Source organism: Homo sapiens, chromosome 4, assembly GCF_000001405.40.
Source record: "Homo sapiens chromosome 4, GRCh38.p14 Primary Assembly".
Classification (NCBI taxonomy): Eukaryota; Metazoa; Chordata; class Mammalia; order Primates; family Hominidae; genus Homo; species Homo sapiens.
In genome coordinates, this window is record NC_000004.12 from 21,532,947 (window position 1) to 21,559,261 (window position 26,315).

General features: G+C 37.4%; 1 protein-coding gene across 6 annotated transcripts in view, besides 1 other annotated feature; it reads right to left on the reverse strand.

The window, feature by feature from the left end:
* Positions 1 to 26,315, reverse strand: part of KCNIP4 (potassium voltage-gated channel interacting protein 4) — a 1,220,167-nt gene that overhangs the window by 804,341 nt on the left and 389,511 nt on the right. The window contains exon 1 of one of the 6 annotated variants that reach the window (NM_001035004.2): positions 11,444 to 11,744. The exons of the other annotated variants lie outside the window; for them this stretch is intronic. The gene's annotated coding sequence lies outside the window, so the exon portion shown is untranslated. Of the gene's footprint in view, positions 1 to 11,443; positions 11,745 to 26,315 lie in introns of those variants that run through there. 6 annotated transcript variants of the gene reach the window in all.
* Positions 10,266 to 11,184: an enhancer, noted in NCBI's record as "OCT4-NANOG hESC enhancer chr4:21544835-21545753 (GRCh37/hg19 assembly coordinates)". NCBI's record gives its function as "activates a minimal SCP1, AML or CMV promoter by ChIP-STARR-seq in naive and primed H9 embryonic stem cells {active_cell/tissue: H9 hESC(naive and primed)}" and the evidence as "EXISTENCE:reporter gene assay evidence [ECO:0000049][PMID:30033119]".

Sequence of the window (26,315 nt, forward strand, 5' to 3'; positions counted from 1 at the left end):
ATTAAAAGCTAATTAATTAAAGAGAAAATACATACATATGTGTGAGTGTGTATATATATGTATATATACATATGTATATATATACTCTTCTACACCTGCCAGCCAGAACCAACAATAATATTGTCCCAAGCTATATAGTACCTGCTTCCAAAGAAGTTTAAAATCCATTTTAGAGAGCCAATTATTGATGTTTAAAGTCTGTAAATCATGAAGGTAGCAATACTTCTAAGTATCAAAATAAAAGCTATGAAATGCCATATCATGAATATATGCTCTCTCACTTAAACTGTTAGAATTTTCATTTTTTAAATAAATTTTATTGTATGTATTTCAGGTATACAACACGATGCTATTCCTGCTCTGTTTGCTATTCAAAATCTCCCCCTTTTGAAATAATATCACTAAAAGGACTAAAAGCAAATTGTTTGCTTAATGGGTTGACTGATTTTTAAAGACTAAAAGAGTCAAATATAGATGACACCAAAATGTGGTCCAGAACCAATAGCTTGTCTAGCCTGAAGACCGGATGAATTATTTTACCCCATTTTAGACCATTTCCATCTGTTATTTCCAACACAAATTAAATAAGTCACAAGAAGGTATCATGATCAAGGATACCTTTCTGGAGAATAGCCATGTTGATTTTAAACTAACAGAAATTTATTTGTGGGGTAAGTATGGATACTTAATAAGGAAAAACAGAAAAAAACTTTTAATAGTCCCTTATTTATTTCAGGTACTGTGTTAGCTAGGTATTTTACTTATTCCTTCTCAGCGAATACTATAAAACCCATTTATTAAGAAATTGAGGCTAGACGATGTAAAAGAAATGAATCTGGACCAATTCCTGCAAATCATGTTAGGAAGTTACAAGAAAGTAAAAAGATTCATAGTCAATCAAGTGCTGTGAATAGCCATTGAGCTCTGGAAAGCCATAGAAGCAGACACATTAGATACAGGATAGATGGTTCCTGTAGAAAGCTTTACAGAAACTGAAAAAGCCTAAAGCTACTTAAATGATGGTAACAGTAGGGTAGAGTAGTACTTAACCATATGACCTTTGGCTAGACTACTGTATTTGAATTACGGCTCTGTCACACACTAAATATATGATTATTGATAAGTTATTCACCATCTCAGTGCCTCAGTTTCCTTCTTTATAAAATTGCAATAGGACCTACTGTATAAAACCTGTGATAATTTGGTGTCAAATGCACATAAAACATAGCATAGCAATGTGTATAAAGTACACATATATCAAATGTTAGCTCTAATTATTTCTGTGAAGACAAATATATTGCTTGTGGAACACATGGGGAGATCGATGTTGTCTTTACAGACACTGCAGTGCACTAGAAGAGCATATCAGTAATATCTTGTTCTTTAAATAAATTACTAGCATTCATATGGTATTTATCCTGAACAGGGAATATGATAAAGACTTTTATGGATTTTATTTTCATTTAATTTTAATGGGATTTTGATGAATGTACTATTCCCATTTTGCAGGTGAGGAAATAAAGGTAAAGTGAATCTTAAGAAGTTGCTTGAGTCCATAGCTGTAGTGATAGTGCCCATATTGAAAACCAAATCATCTGATAAGTCCAGTTCCTGACCACTACATTATGGTGCCTTTCTAAGGGATAATGTGACACAGGTATAGAATGGTGACAATTGTAGCCATAAGTGCCCTTTCCATTTTCAGCCCTCCAGTGCTTCATGAAGTACTGTGTTCATGAGGGGCTGCTGAATGACTGCCTGTAGGACACATCTTCCCAGAGCACACACCCTGGCAGATCACAGCCCAGGAGAACCACGAGCCCATCTGAAACCTCAGAAATAGCCCAGTGCCTGCAGGGGATGGTGCTGCAGCTTCAGACAGGACCTCCATGAGGGGCAGAAGTTTGGTGAAGTATCCCTGATCACAGTCAGCTTCACATCGTAGGGCTTTGAAACATGATGCTGTCAATTCATCTTGAATTGTTCAAGGTCAAACTCAGGCATTCAATGCTGTATCGTTCCTCTCCACTCAATTCCATCCCTTTCCATTCCATCTCATTCCATTTTTTCCATTCGCTCCACTGTATTCCATTCCATTCCACTCCACTCTACTCCATTCTGCGCAAACTTATTAACTACTTACTACACTACTTAGTCTGTAAGCAAAAAGCAGCTGCTGCTCTAAAGATGAATAAAATTAGGCTTAACACAGGCTTAAATTAGGCTTAAATCAGGCTGACCAAGTTCCATTCAGTAGGCAAGTTTAAAGAGCCAAAATCTATAATTTTAATACTTTTAGCTCTAAAGCTAGAATTGGACACAGTGTTCTTCCAATGTATAGAAAAGTCTACTCAGAAGGCTTTATTTTTGAGGACTTGGAGAGAGTTAAATAAGGTATTTTCGACATATGTTTTCAATGAAGCATGAAAACTAGAAAGGTGTGTTTCACTGGCTGAGGATACTTCCCGGTAAGACTCAAGGTCTACCATCTCAAATTAGAGTTCTCTCAAAGGTGCTAAACTCTACTGATTTTTTTATGAATCGCATGTTTCTATATTTTTTTTGCCAAACTCTCCCTTCTGTAAAGAACCATGATTTAAGCTAGCAACGACAAATGAAGCATAGTTACCCTCATTTGATTTGCGGCATTTCAGACTCAACTATTTTTCTGAAACATCTATTTTATTTCAATAGAGACAAGAAGCCTGCTAGTTTCCTTAATCCTGCGTTTTAAAAACATACTTCTATATGAATTGGAGAAATGAAATGTGCTCCATAGTTTATGTTATTCCTTACTTTTGGAATGTATCCTAATCTCAGGATTCTTCATTACTCTGACTACATATTATATTTATTTCCATCCTAAGGTTTTTCAAAGATAGGCATGTGGATTATCTAGATCAACAATCCCTAAAGGGCTTTTAAAATGTCAATTCCTGGGCCCTACTCCATTCCTGAAAATCAAAATTTTGAAGCAGAAATCTGAGTCTCCAAATCATCTCCCTTGGTATATCTCACCTTCTATCTCCCTTTGCAATCACAAGACAGTGACCAGGTCCAGTGATGATATCATGGGCTGTCTGTCACCTGCCTGACAGTGATTCCTGGAGACTCTCACCCAAACAAACTCTCACAGAAACTAGGCAACGTAAGAGACAGGAAGGTTCAGCTGGGGAGGCTTCATTGCGTCAGGAATGCCTTATATAATTCCAGAAGGTCAACAAGAGAAAACCAGGCCAACAGAGCATAAATGTCAACATTTATGGGCCCAGCTGGTGTCCTGCTGAGGCTACGTATTTGAGATTTTGCAAGCCAGGCAATATTGCAAGTTAACATGCTGTATAGATTCTGATTCTGCAGGAAAATTCTCCTTCAGTGTTGCATAGTTGCATTTACTAATTCTGCTTTCTTAGTATTTTGTGTATTTGTTTTACTTTGTATTTTAAGTTTCAGCTAAACAAATGACAAGTAACCAAAATACGAATGAAAGGACTATTTCCTATGCAGCTACTGTGTTTACATATATTACCTCATTTAATATGGTTAACACGTCAGGGCACGGTGGCTCAAGCCTGTAATCTCAGCACTTTGGGAGGCCAAGGCAGGCAGATCGCTTGAGGCCAGGACTTCGAGAACAGTCTGGCCAACATTGCAAAACCCTGTCTTTACTAAAAATACAAAAAATATAGCTGGGTGTGGTGGTGCGTATCTGTAATCTCAGCTACTCAGAAGGCTGAGAAATGAGAATCGCTTGAACTCAGGAAACAAGGGTTGCAGTGAGCCGAGATCACGCCACTGCACTCCAGCCTGGCTGACAGGATGAGACTCTGTTTCAAAAAAAAAAAAAGTAACACTTTGAGAATAGGTTCTTATTATCTCTATATTAAAAAATAAAGCAAACAAAACGAACAGTGGATAATTACTTACCCAAAGTTAATAAATCTTAGCATTGGATCTTGAGCCCTGTTTCTTTCAAAGCCAAAATCTATATTTTATTCTATTACACTCTGCTGTTTCCAAAACAGGCCAAATAATTTCTACCCCTCAAACATTTACCAGTGGCAGAAAACAACTATGAAATCACACTGAGGCCATAAAGTAATAAGAGGAAATTTCTATAAAGCCACACAACCATCTCATTTCCCTGTGGCCACACTTTACATTCATTCAATGAAGAATCAGGATCTACACTGCACCACACATTGGGGGCTGAATAAGCACAGACATACCTGGTAATCTTTGATTTCTCAGACTCTACAGGAGATCAAGGTTCTGGCAAATGTAGAAGTACCTCAAACCTTTCTGGTCATTTTCAAACTTAAATTCTGTATACAGTACAAGCATACTGTTGAGGGTGGCTTTAATGTGTAAAACTGCTGCTTATGGATAGTGGCGATGGGTGATGTTGCCACACCTCATCACTGCATGCCATTTAATACCTTTTATCCATTAAAGTTCAGGCCACCACATCAGCACTACAATATTTTAAATCCTTATATCTGAAAGTACAGGAACCTCTCCACTTTTCTGTGTGTATAATGTAGCCCTTGGCACATTGCGGAAAACAAAAACAAAGAAAAAATACAAAAAAATATCACCATCTGTACTGGGTTGAATAGTGTTCCTTAAAATTTCGTGTCTACTTGGAATTTGTGAATATAACCTTATTTGGAAATAGAGTCTTTGCAAATATAATCAAGTCAAGATTAAGTCATACTGTATTAGAGAGGGCCCTGAACCCAATCTGACTTGTGTCCTTATCATCCTTACAAGAAGAGGGAAATTGACCTGGCGCAGTAGCTCACGCCTGTAATCCCTGAACTTTGGGAGGCCAAGGCGGCCGGATCACGAGGTCAGGAGATCGAGACCATCCTGGTCAACATGATGAAACCCCATCTCTACTAAAAATACAAGAATTAGCTGGGCTTGGTGGCACATGCCTGTAATCCCAGCTACTCGGGAGGCTGAGTCAGAAGAATAGCTTGAACCAGGGAGGCGGAGGTTGAAGTAAGCCGAGATTGCACCACTGTACTCCAGCCTAGGTGACAGAGTGAGATTCCGTCTCAAAAAAAAAAAAAAAAAAAAAAAAAAAAGACAAGGGAAATTTGGAGATGGAGATACAGATAATGAAAAGAAGGGCATGAACAGATGGAGGCAGAGATTGGAGCGATGCATTTATAAGCCTAAGAATGCTAAGGATTACCACCAACCATCAGAAGCTAGAAGAGATAAGAAAGGAGACTTCTACAGCATGTTTAGAAGTAGTATGTCCCACCAACACCTTGATCTTAGACTTCTAGTCTCCAGAAGTGTCAGATAGTAAATTTCTATTGTTTTAAACCACACAGTTTGTGATACTTTGTTATGGTCACCCTAGGAAACTAACACACCATCCATAAATATCCATGTACCACATGCAAGGTGCTATGCTCAGCGTTGAGAATATGGAACAATGGAGAGGTATACCTGGAATCTGGGACACGTATCAGTGTCTATAGACATAGAGGAGGAAGGTAAAAGAGTGTTCCACTTCATTTTAACTCCAGTGTGTTGCTTCTTTTCTAAGGAGCCACAGACAATGACTTCTCATCCTCCTCTTCCTCATTATTCCTTGGCTTACAAGCTAATGCATACATCATGGGGTTCCCAGTATTTCCTTTTCCCCCCAATATTTTATGCCCCATGCTTGTGTTTATATTGTGATATAATAAAATGGCACGAAGTAGAAACACACCCTTCACATGGAGCACACATTACCCAGTGGTTTTATTAAGACTTGTGTTTCGGCATCTGAGCTATGTGAAATCTCACTCAAGGCTCTGTAATGCCGGTATGTTCTCTATATGAATGTGGCACGACTGAAAACATAAAACTGTTATCACAAAACTGTTACATACATTGTAAAACAAACAGCTCTCTGATGTGGTTTGGCTCTGTGTCCCCACCCAAATCTCATCTCAAATTGTAATCCCTGTGTGTCAAGGGAGAGACCTGGTGGGAAGTGACTGGATCGTAGGAGTGGATTCTCCATGCTGTTCTCCTGACGGTGAATGACTTCTCACAAGATCTGATGGCTTAAAAGTGGCAGTTTCCCCTTTGCTCTCTCTCGCTCCTGCCGCCTTGTGAAGCAAGGACTTGCTTCTCCTTCTGCCATGATTGTAAGTTTCCTGAGGCCTCTCCAGCCATGCAGAACTGTGAGTCAATTAAATCTCTTTTATTTATAAATTACCCAGTCTCAGGCAATTCTTTATAACGTGTGAAAATGAACTAATACACTCTCAAAATCCATCCAATGCATAAAAGCACCATTTGAACTGCCACAAATGCAATAAGGCCTCTGAAGTTTTCTAGTTCCACCCTTTCCATCACCTCAGCTAAAGTATCTTCTCCTAAACTCCAGGACCTCCTTTTGTAAGAGTGAGAATTCCTAAATTAAAATAACCAACAGAAAGTGCCAAAGAAGGAAGGGAGAAAGGGAGGGTGGGATGGAAACAAAATTGATGAGTGCAGTTGTAAGTTTCAGGGATTCTTTACATTCCTAACATTGGTTTATTTGGTATTATAAATTAAGAAAATTTAAAAATTATCCATAATGCCCAATGACTTTGTTTACAGATTTGTATCAGATCTTACAGGAAATGGATCACTGAAATAGTCATGTCCAGATTGAGCTGACATTTACTGAGTTCCCCTTCCACTTCAAACTCAGTGTCAGATACCATTTTATATGCTGTGTAAGAATTCTTTTGTGAGGCCGGGCACAGTGGCTCACGTTTGTAATCCCAGCACTTTGGGAGGCCCAGGCAGGCGGATCCCGAGGTCAGGAGTATAAGACCAGCCTGGCCAACACAGTGAAACCCCGTTTCTACTAAAAGTACACAAATTAGCTGGGCATGGTGGCGGGCACCTGTAATCCCAGCTACTCGGAAGGCTGAAGCAGGAGAATCGCTTGAACCGGGAGGTGGCAGTTGCAGTGAGCTGAGATTGTGCCATTGCACTCCAGCTTGGGCAACAGAGCTAGACTCCTTCTCAAAAACAAACAAACAAACAGACAAAAAAAAAAAAAAAGAATTATTTTGTGCTTATTTACACAAGCTCAAATAGGAGTGAACAAAGTTTTATTAGCTTGTATGTAGTCACGCATTATTATAACCAATATTAATACTGGGTCTTAAACTTAATTAGGCCTTCAGATTTGAAAATCTCAATATTTCTTTCTACTAAACCATGTGGCCTCACCAAATATATTTCTGTATGAATCCTAGAGCACATGTTATCTTGGGAGGAGTCTGTTTTTTGCTTTTACAAAACAGTCATATTGCCAAATATTTAAAAGAAGAAGTTCTACAATTTATAGTATACGGTCACACTGTCACCTGACAACCTTTAATAACAAAAATAGACAACCTTACATGTACATAGATAACATTTCAGCAACAGTTTTCTAACAGTGAGCCACAGCTAAAATTGTGAGCATGGGTACTTCAGCATGAAGGCTCAAATCAGGAGAATACGTACAAGAGAGAGGCTCATGAGAATTTAACCTTACCTTGCATTTCCCCTAAAAACAATGGCTCTGGATTCACCAATTCAGTGTTCAAGATGACTTTATAAAATATAACTACCCTAAATAATGATGATTCACTGTACTTTATCTTACTCTTAAACATGTACAAATTTTAGTAGCTTATGAAAGGATCAAGGTAACTCCTGTAGAAAGAAAAACTAGTTTAATCTTGTTTGATCCATTATTTACCAAACGTTTTTGACTACAGATCTAACTTATAAAGAATACATATTATCACCTCACAGGACAGGAATGCATTGTTTGGAGGCCCTGCTGTAGGTGTTCAGAGGTTTTTTCAGTCCTTCTTTTGAGGCCACATGATCTATTATTTAGAGTGTTTTAAAGCATCACTCATGACCATAAATCAAGAGATGAGGCCTGGCACGGTGGCTCACGCCTGTAATCCCAGCACTTTGGGAGGCCGAGGTGGGTGGATCACCTGAGGTCAGGGGTTTGAGACCAGCCTGTCCAACATGGTGAAACATCATCTCTACTAAAAATACAAAAATTTGCCAGGCATGGTGGCGCATGCCTGTAATCCCAGCTACTTGGGAGGCTGAGGTGGGAGAATTGCTTGAATCCAGGAGACAGAGGTTGCAGCTGGCCGAGACTGTGCCATTGCACTCCAGCCTGAGCAACAGAGTGAGACTCCATCACAAAAGAAAACAAAAAAAAAAAAAAAAAGAGAGAGAGAGAGAGATGAAAAAATTACAGAGATCCTAAGACATCTCTCATCCACTTGGCTATCAATATCAACCTGAGTTGGTACTGCAGTCTGATAAAATTCCCAACTTGTTCTTTGATTAGTAGTGCTTCAGCCTTATCCCAATTTATTGACATTCCTATGCTGATAAACCTACTCTTACCCTTTTCCTTTCCCTGAGGGAATGTTTATTCTAGTCTTAAACTTGAGCCAGGCAGTCAGGCTCTGGGAGTGAGTGGAGAGTTCACTGTATAAAAGAATGTCAAAGGTAACCTTTAAGGAACGCTGTGCCACCTCCAGAGTCAGATTTATAGTGAAGTTAACGAAGCTTAGGCTTCAGACCCCTCCACTGCACAGTCCAGTATCCTACCCAATAAATTCTAGCAAAATGTTCAAGTCATATAGTCTTATAAGCTTTCTATTTATTTCTTTTCTTTTCTTTTCAAGACAGGGTCTCACTCTGTCACCCACACTGGAGTGCAGTGGCATAATCACCCTCACTGTAGCTTTGACTTCCTGGGCTCAAGTGATCCTCCTGTATAAGCCTCCTGGGTAGCTAGGAACACAGGCACCTGCCACCAGGCTCAGCTACTTTTAAAATTTTTTTGTAGAGATGGAGTCTCCTTATGTTGCTCAGGCTCATCTTCAACTCCTGGGCTCAAGCAATCCTCCAACCTCAGCCTCCAAAAATGCTAGGATTACAGGCATGAGCCACCAAGCCCCGCCTAATTTTCTAATATTTAGAAAGTAAGATAGTTTAACTATAATTAGTTAATACTGCTCCTTTTCTGCTACAAGTTTTCTATGGCACGCTTTCTTTCATATCTTTTAGACTTGAAGGCAACTGTGGACATTTTTAGAATGCAGCTAAGTAAGAGAACATGTAGTTTTATTTATGGGTTCATAGCTTTTTATGTACAGTCAGGTTATGGATGAGTGTCCTAGGGTAGGAATGGCTTCCACAGATGTGTCTACCACCCAATGTGCCAACTCATCTAGTGTCATAATTCAAAGGCGACCCAAAAGTGAAATGAGCATCACTGGAAGTCCCCAACTCTGGAAGAACAGGAATAGTGGATGGACTGCTCATTTCAAAGTCAGTTAAGCCTAATAACTTAGAGTCAAAAATATTTTAAGGCTTCAAAAATATATTTTTAAAGACTTGAAAAAATAACTCAAATAAAATCGAGCTTGAAAATATTCAAAAGCTTGAGAAAGCTCAAATATATCATTTTAATTACAATTTATAAACATGTTTTAAAATTTCAATAAAATAGCGAAAAATATAAAGCTCTTGATTAGGACGTTATGAAATTACCTTTATTGATATTTATAAAGCAAGTTATTAAAGAAGTGTGGTAGAATTTAGATTAAAGTAATAATACAATGTAAAACAAAAGTGATCAAAATAAAAAGTGAAATTGTGAACTTACGAATTACGTTGCATGAAGAAGAAAGTTGTAATAGCATCAAATATATATAAAAATATATATATAAATATATGGAACACACCAAAAGAAACAATCATTAGTACAAGAGAGAGAAATTTTTACAAGAAGTAATGAAGAAGCTCTTGGATTCAGAATAGTGAATCTAAGTAACAAAGAGGAATAAATAATGAATCAAATAATTACATTAAAAATTAATTTCATGTTGAAATGAAACAAAGTACTAACATTTATTAAAATAACAAAATGCAATACACCACCAAAATGAGACTATCAGAAGTAAACTGTTCAATGAATACTGTCAATTCAATGATGATTTTAAATTAATGTACAACAAAGCTTAAAATGTCATGAAATATTACAACTTACGTTACTAAAGGAAATCAATAGACATTCCCAAATTTGACAACAATCCTAAAAATGTATATAATATTACAAATAATGAATTATGAAGTAAAATAAAGCTTTCCTATTGACAATAAAAAATAAATGTTTATCAACTCTGTGATAAGCCTGAATTATTTTTCTATCTTCTATACTAAAAGTAGTGCAAAATCATTCAACTTTATGCAAGCAAGAACCAGGAAAACTATCACACAGATCTATAAGGCAGCTATTTTATTTTAGAATGTTACTCTTTTAATTTTTTCATATGTATATCATTTGTCAGTTTTCTAAAAACTGTAATTTCAAAATTGATCATTCCTAATCCTAACTATTCATTTTTACACTTAGTTTTATATTTTAAGCATGTATTTTTTTTTCATAAGAGAATCCTAAAACTGTGTAATCTCTGGACCCCATGAAACCTAAATTTGCTCTACAATAGAGGTATTAGATGATGTAAGTAAACTTCAAAGCCAATTCAAAAACAGGGACCTAATACTGTTTATGTTGTTTGCTTTGTTGTAGCTAATATGTCAGCTGTGAAAATAAGTAATTCAAAATTTAAGCTGCTGGAACTTTAAAATATTTTGAGCTTAAAGGGAATGTGAACTAAATCTCATAAGCAGACAGTTGTAAAGTCAGCAGGTGTAACCTTTGTTTCTCCGATTACAGATTAGCCTTTTCCTTACCTACATTGTCTTGTAAAATGTTGCAAATGACTAAAGGGTGCCAGGGAAGAAGACCTTTTTCCTTTTAAGTGTTGATTTTCATTATAGATTACCTTCCATCTTTCTTCTCTCACACATACTTCATGACTACCGCATTGTCTACGATGGAATGTTAAATATACTCTTAAATTGGAAAGGAAATAAAAATAACCTTTATGGATAAGAAAACGAACCATAATTTATTAAATTGTTGTGACTCCTAAACTAGCCTTGTACAAAAAATGTTATAATACTGTTAAATTGATTTATTTTCTGCCTATATAAGCAAGACCTTAACTTTTAACATCTGAGTACTGATCCCATTTCTCTGGAGTTCATATTTTCCGGATGGTCTTTCCCAGCTTTTTGCATGAATAAACTCTTCAAACCTGGATTCTGGTCCTTTCAATTATTTCAGGCTGACATAGCATTGAAAAATAGAGTACCACTGACCTAGAGTCAGCCTATGAGAAATTCTCTCTCTGTCTCTTTCTCTCTCTCTCTCTCTCTCTCACACACACACACAAACACATACATAAAAAATTTAAGACATTGTATTAACTTTATAGCTCCACATAACAAATTACCAAAAATTGAGTAGTTTAAAATAAGTATCTATTTATTATCTCACAGTTCTGTAGGTTGGACGTCTGGACACACTTGACTGGGTTCTCTGCTGAGAATCTCACAGGCTGAAATCCAAGTATAGCTGGCTGGGCTCTTATCTGGAAGTTCCAAGGACTAATCCACTTTCATGCTCATTCTGGTTGTTGGCAGAAGCCAATTCCTTGACATTGTAGGTCTGAGGTCACAATTGCATTGCTAGCTGTCAAACCGGGTGCTGCTCTCTGCAACCAGAGGCTGCCCTGCATTCCTTCTCACACAGAGCCTCCATCTTCAAACCTTCAAGTGCATCAAGTCCTTTGCAAAACCCTTAGTTCTGGGAATTGCCCACCCTTTTCCTGGAAAACTCATGAATAATTCACCTCTTGTTTAATGTGTAATCAAGAATCATAAAAATGGGCAACCAGCAGCTGTTGGGGCTGTTCTGCCCATGGAGTAGCCATTCTTTTATTCCTTTACTTTCATAATAAACTTGCTTCAAATCTTTCTGGCTTGTTCTTCTGCCACTGGTTGGAGAAAGCTTTATACTTTTAAGTTGTCGGAGGCATTTGAACTAGAACGACTCCATCTTGAATAGGGGCTGGGTAAAATAAGGCTGAGATCTGCTGGGCTGCATTCCCAGGAGGTTAGGCATTCTAAGTCACAGGATGAAATAGGAGGTCAGCACAAGATATACATCAAAACCCACCAAAAGCAAGATAGCAAGGAGAGTGACCTCTGGTCGTCCTCACTGCTCATTATACGCTAATTATAATGGATTAGCATGTTAAAAGACACTCCCATGACAGTTTACAAATGTCATGACAATGTCAGGAAGTTACCCTACATGGTCTAAAAAGGGGAGGAACACTCAGTTCTGGGAATTAACCACCCCTTTCCTGGAAAACTCATTAATAATCCACCCCTTGGATAACATGTAATCAAGAACCATAAAAAAGGGCAATCAGCAGCCCTCGGGGCTGCTCTGCCCATGGAGTAGCCATTCTTTTATTCCTTTACTTTCTTTTTTTATTATTATTACACTTTAAGTTCTGGGTTACATGTGCAGAACGTGCAGTTTTATTACATGGCTATACACGTGCCATGGTGGTTTGCTGCACCCATCAACCTGTCACCTACATTAGGTATTTGTCCTAATGCTCTCCCTCCCCTAGCCCCCAAACCCACGACAGGCCCGGTGAGAGATATTCCCCTCCCTGTGTCCATGTGTTCTCATTGTTCAACTCCCACTTATGAGGGAGAACACGTAGTGTTTGGTTTTCTGTTCCTGTGTTAGTTTGCTGAGAATGATGGTTTCCAGCTTCATCCATATCCCTGCAAAGGACATGAACTCATCCTTTTTTATGGCTGCATAGTATTCCATGGTGTATATGTGCCCATTTTCTTTATTCAGTCTATCACTGATGGACATTTGGGTTGGTTCCAAGTCTTTGCTATTGTGAATAGTGCTGCAATAAACATACGTGTGCGTGTGTCTTTATGGTAGAATGATTTATAATCTCTAAGGTATATACCCAGTAATGGGATTGCTGGGTCAAATGGTATTTCTAGTTCTAGATCCTTCAGGAATTGCCACACTGTCTTCCACAATGGTTGAACTAATGTACACTCCCACCAACACTTGCTTTCACTTTACTCTATGGACTTGCCTTGAATTCTTTCTTATGCGAGACCTAAGAACCCTTTATTGGGGTTTTGATCAGGATCTCTTCTTGGATAATAAAGGAATTATAGGACTAGATTTAATCACAAGATTAGATTAGACCCACTCACATAATTTTGCTATTTGAAGGTCAATCATTGGGGACCTATAATCATAGCAATGACATTTCACCATATTCTTAGGTTCTACCCACAATTATTTTGCAAGGGTGAGGGGTTATTGGGGGCCATTCTTAGAATTCTTAGAATTCTCACAGACTTTCTATCAGGATTACAAGATTTATATTGAATGGGTAGTCTAAACTAAGGAAAAGCAAAAAGTTGACTCTTCACAGGGAGTTTGAGCCCTAGTTCATATAAAGCAAAGAAAATAAATCAGAGATAGCAAGAGACCAAGACAGATAGATGTAATTCGAAGAGAGAGAAACAGAAACTAACTTGCCATGAACCGAAAGATTGTATATTCTTTTTCCTCTCTGATTCACTAATGTATGCTTTCTAGGAGAAGACATAACATATTCTAAAATGTTTGTTTTTCTTAAAAGGTATTTGCATTTCCTAATTGGCATATTATTTCATAATTATACTCATACTAAATCTGAATGTTTGAGCCATTCTTATGTCTTCCTTCCATGATAAGTTGTTTATGTTGTGGAATGTCTGAGTCTATAATTAAATTATTGTCTCTAACAAGTTAACCATATCCATGCATACATTAACATATCATTATAATGTGGGAAAACATAGATGTGTACCATAGAACATCAAGCTGAATGGGGCTCTGCAGATCTGGGTTGACGTTTCTGGTAACTGGTCTCCATTCTGGAGGTTTCAAGGGGCAGAACTAAAAACTCCAGAAGAAAGAGAAAATTTATTCTTATCTGAAATAAAGAGAAGGTATGATAATAGGAAATGTTATTTTACAAATATCTACTCCAATTTCTCTTCCTTTCTACCACGGAAAAAAATATTTCCTCATCACATTCATATTGCTGGGTTTGGCTTGGCTCTTGTGCTGTGGTGATCCACTGTGATCAAACCATGCCCCTGAGACTGGGCACTAGGACAAATGAATGTGGAGTAGAAATGCCAAAATCTGCTGTTCAACTGAGTCTCCCAGCAGAACCCAGTCTAGATCAGCTGAACCAAGTCACATACAGACCTGTGAATCTGAAGATAAATACTTGGAATTGCAAGCCCACTGTGTTTTGGGACAGTTTGTTACACAGCATTGATGCAGCCATAGCTGACTAATACAACAAAGAAAAGAAGGAAAAAATCTTCAGATACAGAATTATGTTTAAATTTAATTAAACTAAATATATACATATTTATGTCTGTACATTTATAGATTATATCTATATATATGACACATGCACTTTTTAAAAATAGCTCCTTTGGCAGAGTTTTGTGTTAATATTTTCATTAAAAGAGGCTCTTATATGATAATATTGCTCACAATGAAATGTAACAACTGTGTAGCTGGAAGCATTATCTCTCCTCTTTGGGCAACAGTCCCTGTAGTCTCTTGGTTATTCAGAATTTTAAAGGGACCATATTACCCTATAAACTTAAGCATATGCACAAAACTGCTTTTGGGGAAGGCTACGATTTCTAAACAATCTCAGATACATAAGGCCGAATGTCTGTTATCTGAAACGCTTGAGACTACAAGTGTTTTAGATTTCAGATTTTTTTTGGATTTTGGAATATTTGCATACGTATTTGCAGATAGAAGCTATTTTATAGCTTGGGGATGAGTTCCAAGCCTAAATCTAAAATTTGTTTATGTTTCATATATACCTTATACGTATAGCCTGAAGGTGACTTTATAAAATATTTTAATAATTTTGCGCCTGAAACAAAGTTTGTGTACACTGAACCATCAGAAAGCAAAGGTGTCCCAATCTCAACCACCCATGTGGACAATCTGTGGTTGTTTGGCATCATTATCATTCCTGACTCTGAATTTATATGCTATTAATAAGCATTTATTTTCTTACATTTATTCACACATAAGTACTTAACAGTAAAATATATGGCATATTGTTAATGCAGTGAAAACATAATATGTTCAGGGTAACCAAGGAGCACAGCAGTGTCACCAGAATACCTGTTATCTGTTTAAAAACACCAGCAATCAAAAATGGCAAGTCTTCACTTATTCAAAAATGTTTATATTCTGCAGCATTTCGGATCTTAAGTTTTCAGATTATGGATATTCAACTTGTAGTACATTTAATTTTGTGATTTCTTTTGTTAAATAAAAAGAAAAATCCTTGCAGATTATATGAAGGTCAGAACTGTCTCTTTGCATCAATAAAACATCAAAAGAAAAAGAGGACCACTGGGATGGGAAGAACACTTCCAATGCACTACTGAAAACAATGTAAATGGTTGGGAAAGTTGGCCACAAAGTCTTCTATTTCAATAGTTGTAATAACACATCACTGTTGCATATAAAATGTATCTGCAAATATGTCTATAATGACTGCTGATCATAAGATTTCTTGTTCTATTCACTCTGAAGTCTAAAAAAAAAAAGCAAACTATCTACATAATCCAATTGAATACTCATTACATAAAGTGCTAATAATGTATACCTTCTCATATACAAAAAAAAAATGGATGGTTTAAAATTGCTTAGATCACAAGAGCCAATTACTTGGGCAGAATGGGGAAGGTGATATGAATGCATAAATCTTACATATATGCCTTACCATGGAGGGATAGCTTATATGCATGTGGTTGAAATGAGGAAACCCTCTCTCACCTATAAATTATAATTTAAGCATTCTGTAAAAATTTAAATTCATACTTAAGATTCAAATTATTTTTTCCATACAGAGCAGGGTTTCTCAATTGCCACACTACTGATATTTGGGACTGGGTAATTCTTCACTGTGGGGAATGACATACTCATGATAAGATGCTTAGAAGAATCTCTGGCCTCCACCTACTAGATGCTAGAAGCAGTCCCCTAGTCTGGAGTTGGGACTATCAAAAATGGAGACCAGGCCAAATGTCCCCTGGGGCCAAAAGCACTCCTAGTTGAGAAGCAATGGTCTCTAGAAATACCATGCAGTACATTCCTTCTTCCAATAATAGATGCTAATCACAAGCACACAAGATAGCCACAATTATATGATGTTTACTACTTGCCAGACACATAGTAGCTCATTTTAATTTTCACAAAAGTCAAATGACCTATATACCATAACTACCTGATACAATTTGGATGCTTGTCCCCTCCAAATCTCATGTTGAAATGTGATCCCCCATGGTGAATGTGGGGCCTGGTGGGAGGGGTTTTGGTCATGGGGTGGATCCCTCACGAATGGCTCAATAACCTCCCCATAGTAATGAGTGAATTCTCACTCTATTACTTACTGTGACATCTGGTTGTTTAAAAGAGCCTGACATTTCTCTTGCTCCCTCTCTCATCATATGACATGCCTGCTCCCCCTTTGCTTTAAATAAAAGCTTCCTTAGGCCTCACTAGAAGCCAAGCAGATGCTGGTACCATGTCTCCCATACAGCCTGCAGAACTGTGACCCAACTAAACATTTTTATTTTTTAAAATAAATTACCCAGCCCCAGCAATTCCTTTATAACAATCCAAAATGGGCTAATACACTACTTCTATGTTACTAATGATGAGACTGAGTCATAGAGAAGTGACTTGTTCAGACAGTAAAGGGAGCCTGGATTTGAAAAAGGGCAGTGGGGCATAGAAGGATAAAGTCCTAAATGAGATTAACTTTGGGACAATTGGATTCCAGAGAGACTGGATACATGGGTAGTATATCCTATAGAACCCTCTGCTCACATGTTAAATCTGGGAGCTGAGCTAGATTTCAGAAGTCCCTTCCACTACTAACAATCTGTAAGTCTGTAAATTGTAGACAAATCTATTTGGTTAGATTTATTCCAATAAAAGCAAGCTGACCACATGTCAGATAAGGTCCAGCTACAGCATAATGGCATGATGGCAGCCTTCCATCTTCACTGATTTAAATTCGTGCTGTTTTAGTGCATATAACCCCCTTAGATTTGTCTGCTATGAGAAAATTCTGCAAGGAAGAGAAGGCTGCTTACAAAACAGTCTTTCAAATTTCTCCATGGATCTCATTGGCAGGTCTTCAAGGTCAGGACCAATCACAGACATGGCTGGAGAATGCCCATAAACTCTTCCTCCTCTAATAGCCAATGGGAGAAAGGGATTAACTGCTGGTCAGATGACTGTGACTATTAACATTGGAAGCAATTCTGTGCTTGAAAACTTGATCAGTCAAAGAGGGTAAACTACATTAATAATGGGCACTGGAAGGAGGGAGCTCTTTTTCACCGAAGTCCCCATGGTCACAACAAATTAGATTAGAGTGCCTGAGAATATGCTAAATTCATAGCCTCATCGAAAATTTCTCTTTAGTACTTTATCTGTCGCTAGTCTCTCTTCTCTTGCAATGGGTCATTTCAGCTGCTGCTAAAACCAGCTTTCTATTACAGTTTCTCCTCATGTCATACAATTCCTTAAAGGCTGATAGCATCATCGGTCCCTGATTCTTGTCCATTTAACCTCCCTACCCATAGATACAATCCAAGACTGGTACTCATAAATTCCAAAGGAAAAATAAAGCTGCATATTGCTACCTCTATGACAGGTTACTTTTGGGGAATAGAAGATTCCAGGACAGCTATTTCCTGTGTTTATTGATTATGAATCTTGAAGAAAGAAATTTTGTGTGAGCATAACATATACATAAATTTTAAAATTTCAAAAAAACCACAGTTCTCAATCTTTTGAATCTGCCAAAGCCAGCATGACACAGTGCCATGCCTAATTTCAGAGAGTACCTCCTCTCTCCCCTTCCGTAGTCAGTTGTATTATCATCCTTTAAAACGCTTTAGAGGGTCACTTACGGTCACTCATGGCATATTCAGATAGTTTGTAATCCAATTACATTCTTGAAGATTTAAAGAACCAGAAACAAACAAAAACATGCAAACATGAGCTACAGTTTTTATTGTATGTGTCTATATATAAGAGAGAAAAATGGAGATAGACGTAGATATATGTGAATAAATTGCTGCATATAAAAACATTAGTTAATATAAAAAACAGAAAATAAATATCTTTTTACTTCTTTATTTTAAATGCTAAAAACTTCCTTATAAGGGCATCATTATATTTGGAAAACATATAAACCCATTTAGATTATTCAAAAGGAATACAGTGATACAAATAATAAAACTGACAAGATATCTAATTGGAATTCTTTTGGTTCTTTCAGTTTACAGTGATAAATTTTACCACACTGAATAACTGTAATTTCTACCTGTGCCAAATCTATAGCCAGTCTCATATCTTCTTGCCACTACAATACTAGAAACTTTCCCTGATGAATTATTAAATGATCTTTGAAGTTGCTACAGTTCATAGAAATGTGACAGTCCAATGTGTCTTAGTGCTGTGAACTGTTACCAAAAAGACTAAACATCCTTGACAGCCTGATAAAAAATTAATTATTCTCCTTCCAATGGAAAGAATGCAACTCTGCCAAAACCTGTTAAATGTGGAGCTTTTAGAGTTCTCAATTTCTTCTCTCTTGGAGAGGGCACATTATAATTTTTCATGAGGATTAAATAGCACATGTGAAATATCTAACCTTGCCTAGTATCCACTGGATCTTTAGACCTTAGTTCCTTTTCCTACCTTAGAATTTTTGTTCCCCTAACCGCACTATACTAAATGCCAATGCATATTAGAATAGAGGTGGCAGTGCAAAATAGAAGAATAAAAGAAATATTGTATTATTGCGAGAAAGGATACCAGTGAAGAGATGTTTACTTCAGATACAGTAAAATATTCAAATACTCCAAGCAAGTTTTTCCCCAGTGAGCCTCTGTTTCTGCCTATGTAGACATCATTCGACCTGTCCAGTTATATCTAGGTTATTGTGAAGATTGAAAAAACAAGGGAGAGCTTTTTTTAAAAAAAAAAAAAACAAAAAACAACAACAAAAAAAAACCTTTGTGTTACAATATATAGATCTTATTTTCAACAGCGATTAGGTAATGGAATTAGTGCAGTAAAGTTTTATTAATGAATGCTGTAATTAGAAAATGTTAATTCAATATTTGCTTCCCCAGGTTACATTCATTTGGAAAAAAATGCATTAATCTTACCATTTAGTGATAACTCTTTCAGTTCAACCTACAGACACAAGATCTTGAAATGAAACTGTTGATTAATTTATTTACTCAGTAAAGATGCTACTGGATACAATAGAAATACAAGTCATAAATGTTTTGCAAACAATGATAGTAATGAAAGATATTAGTCTTTTTCCTTAGAAATTAACTTAGTGGATTGAGACAGTTTACCAGTCTTGCCTTACAAGAACTATTTTAAGCACCTAAAAAGTAATCATCCCAAGAGAAAATATAGAGTGCAAAGAGCACTTTGCTATTTCCTCCTGTTATTACAAAGCATAATAAATCCCTACTCTGGACTATTTCTTGCCTGTATCCTGATTAGATATACCCATAAAGTTTGAAAATGTCTGCAACTGAGAATACTTTTATTTATAAAGCGGGATAGAGGTTGAGGAGGATGTAGAGAACAGATTGTTATCTGTACTTGTCACAGCAAAGCATATTTTTTTAATACTTAGTTTTTTAGGCTTCTGTTGGCAGATTGACCTTTCTTGAGAGTAGCTTATCTTGCTGTAGAGCAATATTCCCAGACCTCCTGGGGTTCACAAAGTTAAGAAGAAGGAGCATCAGGAAATAAAGAAGACAAGAAAGCAAAACAGAAAAGTAAAATAAAATTTCTGCTGAGTTAAAGTAGGGTGTAAAAGAGCCATGGAAATTCCAAAGGTTGTTTTAGAACCTCCTATTTCACATCCTACTCAGCTGTCCAGAAGAGAAAGCAGCAAAAACACTCAGACTCTTGGGGAAACAAGCATTAGGTGGTGGCCAGTGGGGGTTGAGGGGGGAGTCTCTCTTAAAAGGGTGAAGAAAGCACAGATGAAAAGGGCCAGGCAATGCAGACTAGTTGTAAAAGCCTAGAAAATAACATCTGAAAGCTTAAAGGGGGGGGTCATAAAAGAGTTGGAATAACAAGTTGTGAGCACAGATCAGTGTAGTCTGAGAGTTGTTTATTGCAGAAAGATCAGAAACGTTCAAGTGAACCATAGCAAACTTCAAACTGCCATTCACTTCTCTCACTAGGTTTGTGTTAATCTCCGTTCCGTAAATTGAAATCAATGACAGCAGCCTGGCAGAGGCGTTGAGAGAATTGAATGTGATAATATGTATAAAAATACCGGCTGTAATAATTGCATATCTTACACTCCCGATGGAGGTCCACTTCTTTTTTCTACTACTAATGCCAATGCTAGAGGCATAGATAAATAAGAAGCATGGAGACTGAGATGGGCCTCACCTGTCTGGAAGCCTTTTAAGACGCACTTTTCTGGAAGCCTTTTAAAATGCACTTGTCCTACCTGAGATTCTCCATTCTGCTTGGTGAGGCACCCTGATGAGGCATTTCACATGTGATCACAGGAGATGTCACCAGGATTATTCTGAGTTTTAATTTAGTCGGTTGTAAATGGGGTCATGATAATTCATCATCTTATGTGGTTGTTAGCATAGTTAAAGGATAAAATGAAACAAAGTTCTTTGTGTGTAAATATTAGCTATTGTTATTATTACCCCCATTGTTAGCATAAATCAAGAGAGTGTCTGTTCTCCACCTTTCCCTTCTTTAATGGAGACACTGGTCACTAGATTTAGGACTTACCCCAAAATGATTTTGTCCTGAAATCCTTACCTTAATTATACCTAAAAAGTTCATTTTTCCAAATCACCTTCACAGGTTTTCTCAGGCTTAAGAGAGTGACATATCTTTCAGTGGGGAAGGGGCACAATTCAACCCACTATGGGGAGTTAGAAGTTAAGCATGTAAATGGACATACATTATTATGTAATGCCAAGTAGTGATAAATGCTCTAAAGTAAAAATAAAGCCATATAAGGGGATAAGGGTGAGTGGAGGATGCTCTTTGGAGACAGCAGTCAGTAAAGGCCTCCTGAAGAGGTGACATCTGAGCTAAGATGTGACTGAGAGAGTGAGACATGCAATATGGGGGACATGTGTTAGAGGCAGAAGGAGCAGCAAATGCAGAGAGCTGAGCCAGGAAAGTCAAGAAAAATCAGAGTGGCTGGTGGCACAGCAAGTGAGCAGGCCAGCAGCAGGGAAAGAGAGCAGGGGGCTGTGCTTGTCACAAGAGGATTTTGCATTTTATTCTAGGTTTGATGGGGAGCCAAGACTGGGCTAAGAACAGCAGAGTCATATTCAATTTCTAAGGCAGACATTCTATTTTAAACCAAACTCCAGACGTGGAGCTAAAGATTTAAGTGGTATTATAATATCCTCGAATAATTGCTCTGATAATGAGAAAACACCAAGAGCAATTCTTTGCCAATATTAGAACTAAATTCAGTTTGTCCTACCATGTCTTTTCATTATCTTGTGCTTCACTGAACATGTCACGAGTTTGCAGAAACAATTCCTTCTGCCTGCATGCCCTTCCCCAGTGTGCCCCCTCACTCTGCTGTGGCTTGTCCCTGGTTTGTGTCACGTCCCCCAGATAAGGTCACTCACACTTCCTCCATGCTCCAAGGCGCTTATTGCCCTGGGTGCCTACTTTCTCCTATCATTACCATCTGTTTACAAGCCTTCCTCCTTTTCTGACTGTACAGTTCTTTATGGTCACATGTAAATCTTATTAATCTTCATATTACCAGAAACTAGCACACTGCACACTAGGTACTGAATAAATGTTAAATGAATGAGTGAATCTTGGTCCTATTCAATTTTATTTTGCCTGGGTTTATATATTCTCCATCCCACTATTTAAATAAACATAGACTTTTTTCTTCTGTTATTTAATGAATAGCCTATAGAAAGGCATTACATTAGCATCAGGACACAATGACCATCTAAACATTTTTTAACAGTTCACTAGAACTGTACACAGTTATTAGCCTGTTCTTTGCTTGCAAATGCCTCAAGAAGCGAAATAGTGGTACGTCCTTTCCCCTGTGTTAAATTTGAGATCACAGAGGCAGGGCAAGCTGCATTAACCTGTCTGAGGTCACCCTCCAAGTCACTGCAATGGAGAAGCCAAATCATCAATGCAGAGAGCTGCTTTCTTCCGTAACTGTGATGTACTGAGTTCACTGAGCCATGCTGTATTTGTCATGCACATGAGTTCTGAAAATCAATAAAATCTGTGAACCATCCCACAAAAATAAAATGCAGTGAAAAGAGTCTGCTTTGCTCCCTTCAATTACTCCAGCATGAATGGACCCAACAGCTGTGGTCTTCAGTGGGACTTCCAGGGCAATAAAGTTTTTAGAAATATTGATTTTCTTGATTTATCAAATTTTCTTGTTTGAGCTTTGCCTAATAAAACATCAAAGTTGAGCATGTGAAGCTGCATTAAAGCATGATCTTCCTGGCAAGAAGAATATGGAATAAAATTGGTTGCATCTTTGGATATGAAATAGAAAAAAAATACCTGAATCATTTTCAACAAAACATATGCTCAAATACTGGTGGAGATAAAAACCAGTTCAGGTAGATTTCTTTGTCATGCTTGAAAAATACTTTTCTTCAAATACATATTAAATATATTACTATCTAGAGCATCTAAAGTGAGAGTCTCTTGTCACACATCTAGACAAAATTAGGATTCCTGTGACTCATGTCCCCAGTCATTCTACATTGGTTGTCAGAGTTCATATCTCAACTCCAGATTCAGGTCCAGTTTGCTGGTCCATCAGAGGCTGGAAGCATGCTGTGCCAGCTGTGTCTGTAGACACAGCTGTGCGCTGTGAAAAATGCACACTCGGTTAACCCTGGAATGATTTTAGATCCTAAATATTGCAAAGGAAAGAGTATCTTTTGGTTTTTTGTGCCTCAATATCCTATTGACATGAATGAATTTTGCTTGATAAATTTGTAAAGCCAACAGCCTTTCGACAAAAGGGGTGAGAAACATATGTGTGTTTTGTAATTGAGTAAAAATGGATTTTGAGAATACTATGGAATATTCATAGATTATTGGCTTTCGAGTTGGAAGAGCAATTTAGGGATAATTATAACAATCATGATAATTGGTGACCATTTTTAAATATGGTTCTGCCATTGTATGATGTGTTTTATCAACAAATATATTAGGTACATGATTCAGTTAACACTACATCCAATTTAAAGAAGAGGACAATCCATTCTAGAGGAGTTAAATGACTTGCCCCATTCCCACAGTTGATTACTTTTCAGAGATGAACAACAAAGTCAATGCTTCTATCTTCTTGGTTTACAAAGGAATTGCAAACCAAATTTATGAGAGTGATTAGCCTTCTCAAGGATGACATGGGACTTTGTCTTTTAACCAGATGATTGCAGAAGTGATTGGCCATTATTGCTTCCTCAAACTTCTAGTTACCTTGAAATAACTCTATAGGACAATTTATTGCTAAGAATCTTCTATGGAATACTACTTCAAAAATACATCAGAGGCCAGGCATTGTGGCTCATGCCTGAAATCCCAGCACTTTGGGAAGCTGAGGCAGGCAGATCACCTGAGGTCAGGAGTTCCAGACCTGCCTGGCCAACATGGTGAAACCCCATCTTTACTAAAAATTCTAAAATTAGCCAAGCATAGTGGCAGGTGCCTGTAATCCCAGCTACTCAGGAGGCTGAGGCAGGAAAATCACTTGAACCCGGGAGATAGAGGCTGTAGTGAGCTGAGATTACGCCACTGCACTCCAGCCTGATCAACAAAGCAAGACTCCATCTCAGAAAAAAAAAAAAAAAAAAAAACCAGAAAACAAAAATGCATCAGTAGACGTTACTTAAAGCTATATAAAAATGTTGTTAAAGAAAATGCTGAGTTAAACTAAACATATTACTTTACTGTAGGACTTATCACTACCATGTTTAATATAAATATATGCATTGCATATCTTCCAGTAGTGGGTACCATGTGGAGCACTTACTAAATGTGTTTCGTCATGTGACTGTTTTATCTGTTTTCTCTTAAATAAATATTGAGTGCTTTGCAACACAAAGTTTAGTGCTCTACGGAGATGAACTTTCCTAGAGTTAATATTCATCGCTAGTAGACTATACTGTGACAAAAATAATGTAATTACTTTGACTATTTTCCACCGTGGATATTACCGGAATCACATTATTTCACAGTCATTATTAAAATGGCCAGAAAGATTAGAAAAGTAAAATACAATATTGGAAAAAAATAGAAAACTGAAAATTGCCACCATATCTACTTAGTCTTTGACATGGCTATGTAAAAAACATTGGTCCTGTATATGGATGAACCTCATGACTTCTGTAATATTTTAGTGGTGATTTTATGAAAACATTGTCCTTTTCTAAAGTCCCTGAAAATCAGTTTTGTATCTTCAAATTAGAAAGCTGGAGAGAGCAATGCGTCATGGGGTTATGGAAGAGAGAGTAGGAATCTGGTCCCAAGTGAATTCAAATACACCACTTGGGTCCCATTCATCTACTCTCTGGCCCATGGTACCAACCTGGTCCTTCCATGAAGGTGCCTTTTGGAGACAGCAGAATATCCTAGGCATTTGCTTCAATTTTCCAATTTTAGACCCAAAGTCAAATGTTTCCCAAATGATTTAAATTGATACACATAGGCCACTGGCACTGGGATTTCCATTTCCTTCCTGGGCTTTGTAACTATAGAAAAACAACTTACGAAGGAAGATGTGGGGATTCTTCTACCACAGGTAGTCAGGTAGACCTGTCCCCAGAGATGAAGAAATGTACATGGGATATACGAATGAAGGGTGATGGGAAGGGAAATTGAGGTTAATGCTGAGGTTTCTGGCTGAGAGTCTGAATACAGTCTACTGTGAGCAAAAGTGGTTATGGTGCTTTTTGATTTTTAAAAGTTAGCTGAGAGGTGTGCCGTGGCCAGCAGTGTTGGTAGCCAGAAACTTCCCGTAAACCAGAGAGCACACTGCATCCAAGGGCTGTGCTACAAATCAGCTTTGGTATGAATTTAGGACATTTGCAAGTATTATGCCTGTTACCTTAAATGGGATTTAGGACCTGGTGCAGTGGCTCACGCCTGTAATCCCAGCACTTTGGGAGGCCAAGGTAGGTGGATCACTTGAGGCCAGGAGTTCGAGACCAGCCTGGCCAACATGGTGAAACCCTGTCTCTACTAAAAATACAAAAATCAGCCAGGTGTGGTGGCGTATGCCTATAATCCCAGCTACTCAGGAGGCTTAGGCAGGATAATTGCTTGAACCTGGGAGGCAGAGGTTACAGTGAGCTGAGCTCACGCCACTACACTTCAGCCTGGGCGGCAGAGTGAGATTCTGTCTCAAAAATAAATAAATAAATAAATATATAAATAAAACAAAATAAATGAGATTCAGTCTGTGCTTTTTCAGGATTTAAATTTGCCAAAAGAAATTGAAATTATACATTGCTAGTCTCATTAGAGAGTTCTGTCATATTAGGTGACACTAACAAGAAAAAAAATCCATGTCCAAAGGCTAAGGCTATCAGGAGCATCTAGTTACAATGATCAAAGTGATGATTAAAGAAAAATAACTATTTCTTGCCTGTTTAAAGCCATGCCATTACAACAGACTAATTGAAATGTGAAGCAAAGATTATGTAGATTTTGCTTGCTGGATGTTGTAATGTTAAGACTTTATTGATCAAAAAGAGGCAAGTAGCTTTTGAACTGTATTAGCAGTTCTTCTACTGGTTGGAAATTTATTTTCTGATAGTGTAAGTTACCAGAGCTTCATCATGCTGTGAAGTGTATTTCAAGTCAAAAAAATTAAATTGAACCCATAATGCATAAGGGTCTTTGTGCCTTGTAACCTAGTGAATAAGAACATAGGCTTTGGAATCAGAACCACCTTAATTTACATATAAACTTAGCCATTGTTTTGAAAAAGACAATCAAGTTTTCTAAGCCTCAGTTTTTTCAACTGTAAAAGTGGGATATTAACAGCCACCTGAATAAGTCTATTTATGACCAAATGGAATGAATACCAGGCCCTAGACCAGTAAGTACCACATAATCATCAGCAAATAAATTGGGGAAATAATTATAATAATAATTATCACCTCTCTGTCGG